The following is a 15,351-nucleotide window of genomic DNA, read 5'->3' as shown; positions in this document are numbered from 1 at the left end:
ATATTTTTACATTAGCCAGCATATATAAAGTTTCTCATTGTTATTCCAATATGCTTAGAGTATGAAATCACATGACACTAAAGGAAAAAAAATCACATCTCTATAATCTAAACTACAATGAACACGAATACGATTTGTATAATTTTTAAAGTTACCTGAATAGAGAGAGAACCTGCGTTTGACACTTTTCTCCAGGCTCAGGGCTAAGAAGAGAGGCAACTGATCATTAACTTTTAGCCACAAGCAAACTTACATACATATCTCCAGAGACTCTGCTTTGCCCTCCCCTCTCTCTTCTCTCAAATAGGGCAAAGTTAGTTATTTCTCTTTTTCAAGAACCTGCTTTGACGTGCACTATTAGTTCATACTTTTCAGAGTCTAAAGTAAGCTTGGCTTAAATTATATCATGGGTCAAAGAAGGTGGCCAAGTCTGGCAATTTGAACTGCTAAATTTAACCTTCTCATGTGTTGTGTTGATGTAGCCACATTTTCAAGCACATTTTCCATTGCGTGATTTAATATGCATAAAACATATTGCAAAAATACTGTACTATATACATTAATAGTTTAGTGACTCTTCACTGAGTCTGAGACTAGGTAATTTGTAAGTTATGAACAATAACAAAGAGGCCAGGGTCAAAGTGTTGAATCTCTTGTGGGCCAGTTTAATCTATTTCTTGATCACACATAACACTCCCTACATGGTCAGCCACTCTGTAAATGCATGCTCTCTGTCCCAAAGAGTCCCCAACCCTGTGTGAGGGTGAATCTGGTGATAGATCATTAGTACCATCTTCGTTTTAGAAGAAATTACTATAACCTTTGGAAAAATGCAGTGGTGTAATTTATTAAATGCTTCTCATATTCTAGGTAAGCATTTTGCCAAACAATTTATACCCACTACCCCATTCTCTAAATGATACATGATAGACATTATGATAAATATTTTCCTATGGGGACACTGAAGCTCAGCGTTTTGATTACTTATGTAAGGCCATATAGCTGTAAAATATGGGGTCCTGGATTCCAACTCTAGATTGTCTAGATTCGAGGCTCATGTTCCTCTCTATCAAACAGCATGCCAGACTCCTCTATCAGTGGATGAGAAATATCTGATTTCCTATGTGAAAGATACAATTATTTAGATCTAAGCACTAAGCAGTAGCCACTTGTAAAATATGCTTCCCAAAGATTTGGGAAGGCTGCATTTCTAAATGTGTATAATAATGAAATAATAATAACCAGGTAATAACATAAATAACCTCTAGAAATTTTATCTAATTTACTTAACCAAATAAACCAAATGCTTTTACAAAATATGTGGTATGTTTCTTTCATTTCTACTGAAAACTTAAGCTTAAAAACTAAAATGAAATAAAAGCATAAAGAAATTTTACCTAGTACAAAATCAGACATAAACTGAGGTTTTAATACAGTGAAAAAATTATACTATGGATTTCACAATTATATAGTACATCTGACAACCAAAAGCAGTCTATATATTTACTGAGAACTCTTCAAATGCTTCTTTGTCCCAACGAAACAAGGTGCTTCGTGGCTAGTAAGTGTTCAATACATTTATTTGGGGTAAAATTACTAAAATGTGATATAAGTGATTAACCAATGAATAACTTCATTTTGTACCCTGTACATATACCTCAAAGTAGTTTCTTTTTTAAAAAGGGTAAAAGAATAAAATTTCAATATTGTTTGCTTTATCAACTACTTTTTTTATATTGATAATATGAAAATAAGACTCAATTTTATGTAAAGAAATTATTAACTTTATTCAGTTAATGTTATTTATTACATCAAGAATAATAATTTTAAAAGGCTCCCATATGTATAGTTAATTTAGTTAGTATTATTACAAAATATTCTAAAGTTAAATAAGAAGAGAAATACAAAGACATACATTTGATATGTAAAAATTATATTATCAAGAAAATAGCTTGATAAGATCTATAAAGAACAAAATTGACAGGAATTTGAATAATGTATTTTGTACTTATTTTGTATTATTTTGCTTACTGTCATTACCATATAAAATCCTCAAAAAATACTATCCACTGACAGAAACCATGGTCTGTTACGTCTAGTGTGCATGTTCGAAAAGTTTAAAGAGTTCAAATTATAAATCACATATTTTCTTTCTAAATGTAGAATTCATCTTTCTTCACATAAGATATTTCTTCTACTACATTACCTTAACATCTTAAACATTTTAAGCAAATATACAAAAAATTAAAATTCACCTAAAGCAGCAAATTATGGATTAATGTTTGCTGGTGTAAAACACATAGCAAATAGAATGAACTGACTTTAACATTAACTTTAGTCACCTTTGTAATCACAGTAACACCTTTAACAATTTGACTCATCTTTTTTTATAAGAATATAACTTAAAGCACAGAGAAATCACGTTACTAAAGTTGAGCAACTAAGTTCTGTGAGATGTGAGATAAACACAGACAGTGAGGTTTCTACATGCACTTTTGAGAAAAAGAAAAGCCAAATGCAAAACAGACCTGTTCACCAGGAGCCCTGGGGAGAGAATGGCTAAAGGTGACTAAGTTTTGCCAAGGTTATAAATTCTCAAAAGTAACTCCAAAAATAGGATCATGCGAGATTTTTTTTAAATTTCTGGTTTCCAAAATTCTTCAATAATATGAGGACAGGAGAGAGGAAATGCAGATAGTCTTAGGAGAAAACCTTGATAAATAGCCTGTGTGCCCTTGGAATAGGTTATTAATTCTGTGTTTAAAACATGACAATAAGTTCTTGGCAACAGATTTATTTATAATATTATTTTCAAGTTTCACTAAGCATTTTACACATTTCCCTTGTGAGATTATGATGTTTTTCGCATTGTAACTGAGGAGTAAAACTGAATTAATGTGCAAAATCCAAGCTTTTCATCTGAATAAAAAGTGCAAGAAATTCTAAAGAACAGAAGGCTCAGATATATATTTTGAATGGAAAACGGCAGTAAATTAATCAGAAAACACAAAAAAACAAAGGTCTCACAACATAATGGAAATAATATAACACATTTCTTTTCTCATCTGGGTACAATTTTTTTTCTATTCTTTTCCTGGAAAGAGTACCATAATCCTAACATTCACTGAGTAGTACTAACAGTGATTCTATTTTCTAAATCTAGAATTACAATGGAGCTAAAATTTAGCTTATAGCAGAAGGAAACAATCCACATTAATTATCTCTTAGAGTTATAATGTAAAAAGGCAACACTTTTAACCTTGATAAGCATAAGAGAAAGATGGCATCAGTCAAATTTGCTTTCATAGAATAATTCCTTTAAAGTTTTAATACATCCTAGAAAAACCTAATTGGGGGAGGGTGGTCCTAACCACAAATATGCAAGTATTCTACCATCTTAATGGATTCCCCCTTCTTGCTGACAACAGTGGCTCACTAATGGAAAAGAATTATTGGAAAGGTGATTTGAGTACATGGTACATTTAAGACCCTTACTTTCTTAGCTATTATCCATTCAATAGAAGATACTACTGTATTTAGCCAATAGAGGAAACATGTTCAGAGAGAGAGTGCTTTAAAAATATCCTTCTAGCTCAGGACCTTGGGTTCCACTTAGCTCCCCGCCATCACTCTCAGCTTGCACTGTGGTCCCACAGCTTTCTATTAAATGCACTAACATTCTGCCAGTCAGCTCAAAGTCTCAGAGTCAGCAAAAATGTCTCCTCTTCTCTAAAATGAAACCCAAGTTGCCAATCCTTGTAAATTCCACTTGCAGAAGAAGTTAAATCTATCTTCTTTCCCTAATTCCCACAGGCACCAATAAATTTAGTAGCCTCCAATTGTTATCCCAGCCTCCAATCTCTCTACTCAAAATCCCAAATCTTAGCCTAAATTGTACATCTAATACAAATGCAGACAATGGCATGCTCCTACTCAAAACTGGTCATTATCCCCTCCCCTTCCCAACATTCACATACCACAAGCATCTTCCACCCACCCAACCACACAACCACTTCTCCTCCACATAGGAATAACAGAGAATATGTTATAAAATGTAATATGATCGGGTATGTAGTTTCCATCTATTGCTATTGCCAATTATAGTAGAATAGGTATTTTAATGTGTTTTGGCTTTTTACTGCCATTTGTAAAATAAGAAGTCATTATTTCTCCTGGTTTTAAAAACACTACAAAGGCATTAGTCATTAACCAGATATAAATAAATGAAGTTTGAGGCAACATTAAATCTACTGTCTCAGTCACATCTCACAGGGTATGAGATCCTTCCACACCTCAAAACAAATTTACATCTTAAATAAAACTTAAGGTAAACTTTTGTTGTTATTTTAGGATTTTTATCATAGTTTATTTTATTGTATTTTTCAATTTTGTGACAGGGTCTCACTCTTTCACCCAGGGTGGAGTGCAGTGGCAATCAAAGCTCACTGCAGCCTTGAACTCCTGGGCTCAAACTATCCTGCTTCAGCCTCCTCAGTAGGTGGGAATACAGATACATGCCACTATCCCTGGATAATTTTTAATTTTTTTTTTTTTTTTGTAGAGACAAGGTCTGCCTATGTTGTCCAGGCTGGGATTTTAAGTTATTTTAAATAAAAGTATAAAACCTCCATATGATGATGTCAGAATATAACAATTTAAAAAGCAATGTAAAATTATATGGCAAAGACAGTTTATAGAAGCCATAACCACGCCCTAGAAGTTAAAGTCCCATGGCTTCAATGCTTTTATTACCCTCTGGGTTCCCCATGGGGACTAGACTTTCTTGGTGTTCTCCTCAGCAGCAGATGGAAGACGTGGACCTCTTTTGCCCTGGACTGGCATTGTGAAAGGCCTCAGCCTGTTCACTAGGCTTCATTCCCCTGGGAGCACCAGTTATTACTATTATGATGTAGCATAAAATTCTTTTAAAAAAAGAGTTTTTTAAAAAAAAATCTAAAGGATTCTTTTTAAAAAAGGATTATTTAAAGGGCTCTTTAAAAGAAGAAGAAGAAGCAAAAGCAAAAACAAAAACCACAAAATAAAACAACAATGACAACAAAACACCTTGATTTAGTATTAGAAGAGTTGGGTAAGACCTATATTTTACTTTTCATCTTGAACAAATTATCTAACCTCTCTTACCCCCAGGCTTCTCAACTATATGCTGGCCTAGTATTTCCTAATGCAGACACTGCTGTTAAAATAACACTTCGATCCATTCCACATCTGATTGCTGAATTTTCAAGAAAAAATTAAGCAAGCTTGATGCAGAAATATTCTGGGCTCTCCCTTTTCCAGATATGCCTTCCTACAGAGGAGACAGATTCTGATCTGGTCTACACAGTATGATAATTTTACTAGAGCAGGTTCTTCCCATACAAGGGAAAGCCTAAGTTTTGATGATAAGTTCAAATGAGAAACCCCATTTGACCATATACCCAAGCAATATTCTCCAGTTCAGCATCAATTTTAAGAATTAAATAGATGAATCAAAGGGGCTAGCTGAATATATTTTTCCTTGTTTTTAATTAATTAACTAATTTAAGCAACATATAGTGAGTAGCTAGCTACAAAACCCATTATATTATGTACAGGAGGGATGCCAGGATAAATAAGGCAGCTTCTCTTTCCTCAAATAGTCACTCGCTGGAATAATAGACATTGGAGGGTACCAAAGGTGGGAAGCTAGGAGGAGGATGAGGGTTGAGAAATTACCTTTTGGATACAATGTTCACCACTTCGGTTATGGGCACACTAAAAGCCCAGATTTTACCACTGCACAATATATGCATGTAAGAAATATGTACTCATACCTGCTAAATAGATTAAGAAAAATTTTTAAATATTCACTTTCCCATGGTGGGAGGCTATATGTGTGTGTGTGTGTGTGCGTGCACATGCATTTTAAAACCAGAATTGTCAAAGCTAAAATAGTGTTATAAAGTAGTATTAGCAATGTCATATATTATAGAACCTTGCATAATTTAATTGATCACCACATACATTCACATAGGCTAAAGGTACGAGGCAAAATAATAAAACTACCTACTCTAGGCATCTGCTGTCACATCATAAAGCTGTTAAGTAATGTTAGGATTTTAATTATCAGGACAGTATCACAGAAATGTTCCCCTGTATCTAAAATCATTATACTCATTTTAACCATATTTTTATAGACACATTAGCAAATTTGACTGATTATTTCATATCAGAAACTCTCAATTCATTATTTCTGAACCATGTTATAAATGGACAAGACTTAACATTTAAAAACTTTCCTAGCTTTAATATACTGCCAAAATACGTAAATCTGGAGTTATCAACATGAAAGAAAAAGCCTAATTATTTGATTGTTAGCATTTATATCAACCCACACAATCCATAGTCTATGTAAAAGAAATGAGGACACAGTGAGTGGCTTAGTGGAATATTAGGGAGAATATATTAACAGCTGGGCATGCTCAGCTTCCCTCTATACTGATTTCTTGATGCAGTTTCAAGGTAGAAAGGCATGGAAAGGCAAAGAAGGCACAGCAAGGTATTTGGTACATAATTCACTTGAAACCTTCCACTAACTCACAGCAGTGATTTTTTTGGTCAAATAGTTCCTATTTTTCTCTGCTACTCTTCTGTTAACTGCTGGATTCAAGTGAAAACATAGGCAAGAAACAGTGATATCCTTTGTAGGTTCCATGTTCAAACAGTTCTCCAAGGCTACCCAAAGATCCATCTATTTCCACATAGTTAAGTGCCTTGGGGAAGCCCCTTCTCATTTTCTGTGATTTTTAGCTTTGTCCAGGTAAATGAGATGCCAATTAGTGAAGTGTGGGAGAAGTAAGACTGTAAAATGAAAATCAAAGGAATTGACTGAAAAGCACCACAAAGATACCACACGTATTTGAGGAAAAAGAGAAATCTCATTTTACTAAAACACACCATGTGATTATTGATATCTGTTTCTTAACCACAGACTCAATAGGCCTGTGATTATAGTTTTTAAGTATCCAATTTAAAGGGATGGTATCCCTTGTATTTCAGGTGTCTGTGTAAGGAATGTATTTTGTTTTGTTTTTCCTCATACTAGAGAAAACCTAGGGTGTCAAAAGACAGGCACAGACAAACTGTTTTGTAAGAGCAAAACAGTTTGCTCTTATGCACATTTTAAAACTGCATAAGAAATCATGGCATGCTGCAACTGGCCTTTGTGTGTGGGTAGCTAGAAAGAGTAAATATGTCTTACCTCCCTGCCTAACTATAATGCTAGAATCTATGCTACTTCAGGGATCATTGGTTCTTCCCCTCTATGCTGTGAACATTTTGAACAGACATCATTTGTTTATTGGCATTAGGAGGTATGTAACACATGTTGGTCGAATTAATTAATATATTGTCCCTTGGGATATAGCCACTGTGGTGAAGGCCTAAAAGACTGATCAAATATATGCTACCACCAGGTCTAAAGCAGACCCACCACCACTGTCAAACACAGAGAATGGGGCACTGACCAAAGTAGTCATTTCTATGTATCCATTTAAGAGACTCCTCTCTCAACAATGTCTTTGAAAACGCCATTCAGACTAGGTTTTTCTCACTTGTGAAGTATTTTTAATCTAGGATCTCTTATTACAGGGTGCTGCATACTTTCCCTACTACCAAGATATTCACATGCTTAAGTAGTGACATCACAACAAACCTGAAGACTCACAATATAAAACAGCTAAGACAGAACAATAAGTAAAGTCAATGAAATGAATTATTATAGAATATACAAAATTGCTTCATCTACATATGATGATGAAAACGGACAAAGAAGAGGTATTTCAAAGCATGAAAGGTTTTTAAAAATTAAGTAAAATTACAAATTACAAAATTCACATAATTATATTAAAATGCCTCTACCACAAAGGCGCTCATCCCAAAGTTTTGGATACTTTCCTATCTATATCTGAATAAAGAAAATGAATCTAGAAAATACAGTATTTGAGGAATAATTTAGTAATAATAATAGCTACCACTTAATTAGTCCCTACAATATGCCAAGTATTAATAATATTCTAAGTACTTAACACAAATTAATAGTTAATTCTCACAACAGCCCTATAAAGAACTTGTATTGTCCTCATTTTACAGATGAAAAAACTGATGCTCAGATTATAATTAGTAAGCATCAGAGGCAGCATTTGAACCTAACACTCCAAGATCCATATTCTGTACTCTTAATAAGAACAGGCAGGGTTAAGCTGGTTCCCTTAGTAAACTATGTATCTAAAAGGAACCATATGACATATTACAACCTAGCCCTATGAGCATACTTAACATGGAACAAAAAATTCAATCAAAGCAGCAAATACCCCTATGACTGACCTAATAACCTCTTGGCATAAACCGCTGTTTCTACTCTGAGGCTGTCTGTAATTTCACAGTGTTGAGCTGTATTTGTTTTCTGTTGCTGCTGTAACAAACAACCACAAATACAATGGCTTAAAGCAGCACAAATTTGTTATCTTACAATTTCAAAGGTCAGAAGTCTGAAATGGGTCTCACTGAACTAAAATCAAGGTGTGAGTGGAAGGTTTAGGAGAGAATCTGTTTCCTTGCTTTTCCATACTCTGAAAGCCACCACTGGCATTCTTTGGCTTCTGGCTGCATTCCTACATCAACAAACTGTCAAGGTTGGACTGAGCATCTTTCCTGCTGCCTTCTCTCTTTCATTTATAAGGATCCTAGTGATGACGCTGGGCCCATGCACATAATCAAGGATAATTTCAAAGTCACCTGATTAGCAACCTTAATTCCATCTGCAACCTTAATTCTCCCTTTACCATGTAACATAACATATTCAGAAGTGGCAGAGATTAAAATGTGGGGGTCCATTATTCTGTTTACTACATAGATATACCAAGATTTGTTCATGAACTTGAGGTAGAAGACAGAGTACATGATACAACAGAGGTAGAAGACAGAATACAACCATACAGTTGGTCTAGGAATTGTTCACAACAAACAGGTAATATAACTTTGTAAATTTACCATACTACTCTTATAAGCTAGTTAAAATACGTAGCAATCTAATGCAAAAATACAAATTTGACAAATTGAATACAGTTGGTTACATTCATTTGAAAGAGTATAGACTAGTTATAAGAACAGTCTACAGAAAAGAGTATAGACTGTTTATAAGAACATTGGATTTTAAATTATCTCCCTTATAAGTTATGCAGTCTTCAGCAAGACACAATGCTGAGCATCAGTTTTCTCATCTGCACAGCGAGGATTGAAATCCCTGACCTGCTTTAGACCAAGATTGTATGAAGGATTAAATCAGATTGAATCATGAGTGTGGAAACACAGTGATAAAGCCCTTTGCAAACAAAATATGAACGTAAAAAAACCCCAATATGATCATTTTTGTTCAAAATGTAGTTTTTTTAAAAAGTGCCAATGATAAAGGTAAATAACTAAAAGTATATACCTCTAGCTTTCTCGTTTATTTTAAAACCAGAATTCATGCTAGTAATAAAAATAGAATATAATTCTATTATTATTATTGAAACTTTATCATTTACTACTTTATAATCATTTAAATGAAGGAAGTTTATATTTAGCTTCTTTTTATATACAGAGAAACTGAGACTTAGTCTCTTGACCAAGATCACACAGTATATTGGATCATGGAAACACTAGAAGCTAAAAGTACCAACTTTAAGATATGTCCTATTTTAGAAAATGGATTAAAACAGTAGTCATGCCAATACTACCATTCACATTAAGATTTACCAATTGCATAAACAGCATGACTTACAAGAGCTAGATGGAAGAAAACATCATTACACACCAAGGATACTCACAGAGTAACTCTGTTGGCACCAAGAGTCCCAGAGTCTTTGGTTCCCCAGATCACCTTGTTTCAGGTTTCACAGGAAAGTATCACATCTTAAGATTGACTCCTAGAAGAATCAAAGAATATAGTAACCATCTAAATATTTCAATGCATGTTTAGAAAAATGAAAAATATATCCAACTCCATATCTGAAAGACTTAATAACATGTAGCTTTCTATTGCTGGCTGAAAATGCTATTTACTGTCTCTTAAAGCTCCAAGCTTTTATTTAAAGGACCATTTAGATATAAACAGATTATTTAGTTAAATGTGTTCACATCACCACTAGCCCCATGTTATAATTATGGCACCTGCCTGCCTTTATTTGTGCCTGCCTTTATATTTTCTGTCCCAAGTACAATTTCTCAAGGTGCAGAGGATTTCGTGCCAAAACATCAGAGAGACTCATTTCAGTCCACCATCTTTGGGATTTCAAACCAATAGCTTGTTTTTAACTTTTGAGTGATGTTTCTCTCCATTTTTGGTACAAAAATATATGTGAGTGTGAGTGTGTGTGTGTGTGTGTGCATGCCTATGTGTGTGTTTATAAAGTAATATCTTGAAATTTTTTACATAAATACATTAAAACTATTTACATTAATGTCTTAATTAAAAATTGAAGCAACATTTCAGTGAGACAAATAAGGTTTAACAATACATCAGAAATATTACAAAAATATAACCAATGTTTAATCATCAGTTCTTGTATGTTCTTTGATGATATGAACCTTGAAACAAGTTTTTCATTTCTCTGTCCAACTTCTTTACTTGAAAACAAAGGTATACTAGTATTTACCCCAAAATTGTGACTATTGAATTAAGCTAGTTAACATTTGTAAAATATCAATACATATAGTGTTTGGCAATGAAATGACAACAACATGAATAATAAATTGTTGACTGAATAATTGTTATTGATTATAATAATTGTTATTAATAGTTAATATTATTAAGTATTAATAACTATTAACTATTAACTCTTCTCTTAAAGCTCCAAGGTTCTATTTAAAGACTCCTTTAGATACAGATTATTTAGTTAAATTTGTTCACATCACCACTAACCCTATGTTATAACTATGGCACCACATAATAGTTGATTAAAATATAATTATTAATAATAACATTAATTAACATTAATATTGCTACTTAAGACAGTTAAAAAAATTGGAATATATAGATGAACAGATCCCTGCTGATTCTTTATTTAAAAAATAAGTTTAAGTATACAAATTCTGATATTTATCTTATTATTAAACCAATATAATCAACTTTGAGATGTAATCAAGAAAAATTAGATTGTTCTACAGTAGTACAGTGCAGTGCAAAGGTTTTTAAAATATAAAAAAATCACATGAGTAAGGCCAAAGAAAACAGAACAGAAATAGTCTGAGGTCATTTCGATAGCACTTGTAATGTTACGCGATTTAACCAGAGAACCTTGACATTGTAATCTAAAATGGAAGGAATTTTAGGCTGATAATCAATTGTTTACTTTGTAAATTCCAAAACTATAATAAGTAGACCATGTATATACATGGTAATTTAGTAAAAATTGCACAAAAACTTGTGAATTTTACATGCAAATACCTCCTTAAAACAATAATTAAATTCACTTGAATTTAGAATTAGCATTAAGATATACTTCACAAAATTACTGGTATTATTATACCACAATAACTAAAATTTATATACTAAATATTTTTAAAATATAACATCTTACTCTAACTTTCTGATTCAGTAGCTACCACTAAAATTATATAACTTTGAATTTATTTCATGTATAGGTATGGTGACAAATTGGTATTTTTGCTGTAATCCATTTTTGTCTGCATAATTATATTTCTTACCTCATACCTAAAAAGCAAGATCTCCCACATTTTGATTCTCATGTGAAATAAAATAATATTACTAATATTTGAGAATCATTAGTTAAGGAAGTTTTCTTTCTCTTTTCTTTTTTATTCATCAACTAAAAATTTCTTTTAACAACGTGACTTTAGAAATTCCCTGGTTTTTCTCTACAACATTAGAATATTACAGTTAATTTTAGTTTACAGTATTTTGTTCTGCAAAAATAGTGCAGTAAAAGTTTCATTTGTCTTAAAGAGTGATTTTATTTCTTTTAAACAGGAGCAAACCTTAAAAGTTATATGTTTGTGGGCTAATATGTAAAACAATAAACAGTAATTTGACAGTTCCATAATCATGTCTACCAAATAAAGATTTTTTAAAAAGAAAGGTAGCTAAAATGAAGTAAAATGTTTTCTATTTGTTTCGGCATGCCTTTTCATCTTCCAAGTAACCTTCACCTTGTACAAAAGTTAGAATACCTGACCTTCTGAAGCATGCATGTGTAAATCACAGATAAGTTCTACAAAGACTTTTATTTATATTAAAAGGCAACTTTTTCATAATTTCTTTAATATAAAACCAACAGCAAAAGTATATGCTATACTTACTTTTCTAGAAAGGTTCATAAACTAAGAGAAATTCCTTGATCTGTTTTACTGAATATAAAATTAACACATATAAGAAGGAACAGGAAAGAAAAAAAAAGGAATCTCTAGGCCTTTGGAAGGCTAGGTTAATGTCTAATTTCTCATCCAATTATCAGGTAGGAAATAGTATGGTATTTTTAATTCTATAATTTCAGAGATCATTATTTAGGTGATTTAAATGGTCATACTTTTTAGAAAGGGCCAGCAGCTATTTCAATACTGCTATTTTAATAGAATACTCTGGGTGTCATAAAGTTCCATGTCTGGTGTAACTCATAATTAATTGACTTAAGAATTTTAGTTACAACGAAATGCATTACCCAGGGTTCATGATCTCTTCCAACTCATGAAACAAATTTTAATCAAAACAGAAATGAAATATATTTTTGCAAAGGTGCTCATTCAAAGGGCTAGGAATGTATGATATAATAGGGGAAATATGTTACTCATGTTTACACCTGGTTGATTATTATCTACAGAATAATAAAAGTGAAAAATTATGTCAGCTGACATATGTAATTTTATTAACTTATTTCACAAAATAAATAAATGTCCTCCAAAAATAAGAGACTGTTTTAGAAACCACAGTAAATCTAAAAGGAATATTTAAAACTATGTAAATCCAAGGTCAAATTTTCAGAAAATCAGCAAACAATCTACTCTATAAGGAGAGTTTCTCCCTTTAACTCAACAGCACCATCCAATCATGTTTATAAATTCTCATTAGGGCTGAAAAAAAAGTTCCTTGAATAAAATATTTATTAATACCTCAAGCTTAGTTCTATACCTTATGACAGTAGTTAGCATTAGTAATAAAGCCAAAATAACTGTGAAACCATCTACTATCTTCTTTTAAATCTTTTTTGCTTTTCCCTTCCTCAAGCCCAGAAAGCATGTTTGTTTGGAAACAACTAGCAAACGCTATAAATGGAGAACTTAGAGTGAATGATTAATGATCAAGGCAAAAATGTAAAATCACATCAGCTGATAAGTGGCTGACTAACTCAAGGTTGAAGAATGTGAGGGCATTGTGGCAAAGCTGAAGAGTAACATTTCTTTTGCTGGTAAATGACAGGCATGAGACACCACATCATACTCTTAGATGTCCAAAAGCAAATCCATTGTTTTAAGTTTACATAACCAGCAAAGGTGATGTTTGAAAGTCACTGGAGACAGATTCTAAAAAGCCATGTTACAAACAGCTACATGTATATAACTGTAAACACTATTTACAGCTACAGTATACAGCTGTTTTCATGGCTGACATAAGAAATTCTATGGTACTCCTTAATAAGTAGCATAACTTAAAATCTCTAAGCAAGGGTAATACAGTTACATGAATGGAATCTAAGGAAATGGCCTACATCATCATATACTGAAAATGAGTAAGAAAAACACTAGGACAATAAGCTTTGATCTCAAAACTTTAACAAAATTATTGAGTTCACTAATCTTGTTCTCACTTCTTTGTTATAGAGACATTCATAGCCTACCCTTTTCCTAATTGAGGAAGTCAAAGATGAAAGAAAAATCAATAAACATTGAAAAAATATAATTTGTTTAGTGGTGTATTGAAAATTAACCACGAAGAGGAGCAAAGCCAAGACACACTGCAAAGGCAAATTGTACCGAGCTTGTCTTGGAATGTTGCCATGCTCAGTTTATCACCTTACTCTGAGGGAAGCATGGGTGGTTTTGAGAAGGGCTCTGCATGGGAGTAAGAGAGAAGCAAAAATAGTAGCTTCTTTTAGCTACCATCTCCCCATAGCAAAATTTACATTTATCTTTCACTCTATAAAGCAAATAGTACACTAGAGCTTTTAGCAATTTTATTTTTACATACAATTAAGATAGACAAATATGATGTGGTGCTTTTAAGCATGTGCCTCAAAGACCTACAACTAGAGGGAGTATAACTGACCAAGGGCTCAAGCTTCTGAGCTCTGAAATCCATTGCTGAATTTGCATGGAGTCCACCCTTCCCACAGGCACCTCCCAACCCACGCCTGAGCACAGCAGGGATACCAAAGCAGATCCATTCCTGGGACATAACTATATGTGAATAGATATATTCACTGAACTACAGAGAGATAGATTTTTGTTCAGTATAAGTATGACCTCATAGTCAAAGATATCTAAAAGTAAAATGGGCACTCTAGTCCTCTCAATCACTCTTTGATAATGGTAACATCTCCATTTTACAAAAGAGGAAATACTCTGCTTGGAGAAGTCAAGTTCTCAGGGGTATACAGCTTTAAGGGTAGAGACAATATTCCAACTTTGATCTTGCTCACTGTTTCCACAATACCAGTTAGAAGAAATATCTTTCATGAAAAGACACCAAATGGATATGCATCAGCCATAAATAGGTGTCTGGACTATGTGGTGTATAAAAACACTTCTAGTGCTAAACTTTGATGAATTGTATGCTTAGAATTCACTTCATAATACCATATCTCCTTTATTTTGAATAAGACACACACTCTTTTTCATGTCTTGTGAAACAAGTAAATCTACAGACCCAATTTAAATTTTCGTTACAGTTATTTAAGTGCTCAGGTAAGACTATACCCTTTTAAAATTTAACAATGGAAATTAATATCATCAAGGGGGTATCTGTTCTAATAAGCAAAAAAAAAGATGATATATATAAATCCTAAACACTAAATATTAAATTAATACAATGCAATGCCTTGAAAAAGTGAAATATTAGACAAATATCTATAAAATTTTTACTAATATTTTTAGAACTTTTTTTTTGGTGGGGAGGGGGGATGGAGTTCCACTCTTATAGGCCAGACTGGAGTGCAATGGCATGATCTCAGCTCACTGCAACCTCCACCTCCAAGGTTCAAGTGATTCTCCAGTCTCAGCTTCCCAAGTTGCTGGGATTACAGGTGCCCGCCACCACACCTGGCTAATTTTTGTATTTTTAGTAGAGACGGGGTTTCGCCATGTTGGCCAGGCTGGTCT

The 15,351-nt window shown here is 33.0% G+C and overlaps 1 protein-coding gene across 7 annotated transcripts in view; it reads right to left on the bottom strand.

Moving 5' to 3' along the window:
• SLC16A7 (solute carrier family 16 member 7) overlaps nt 1–15,351 on the bottom strand; it is a 193,813-nt gene that overhangs the window by 124,743 nt on the left and 53,719 nt on the right. For 3 of the 7 annotated variants that reach the window (XM_011538989.3, NM_001270623.2, NM_001270622.2), the window contains exon 2: nt 9,849–9,947. The gene's annotated coding sequence lies outside the window, so the exon portion shown is untranslated. Of the gene's footprint in view, nt 1–155; nt 226–253; nt 381–9,848; nt 9,948–15,351 lie in introns of those variants that run through there. The other 4 variants (XM_011538992.3, XM_024449276.2, XM_011538991.3 and 1 more) reach the window with 2 other exon arrangements.

This window comes from Homo sapiens, chromosome 12, assembly GCF_000001405.40.
Source record: "Homo sapiens chromosome 12, GRCh38.p14 Primary Assembly".
Taxonomy (NCBI): domain Eukaryota; kingdom Metazoa; phylum Chordata; class Mammalia; order Primates; family Hominidae; genus Homo; species Homo sapiens.
This window is presented reverse-complemented; position numbering and strand designations above follow the sequence as displayed.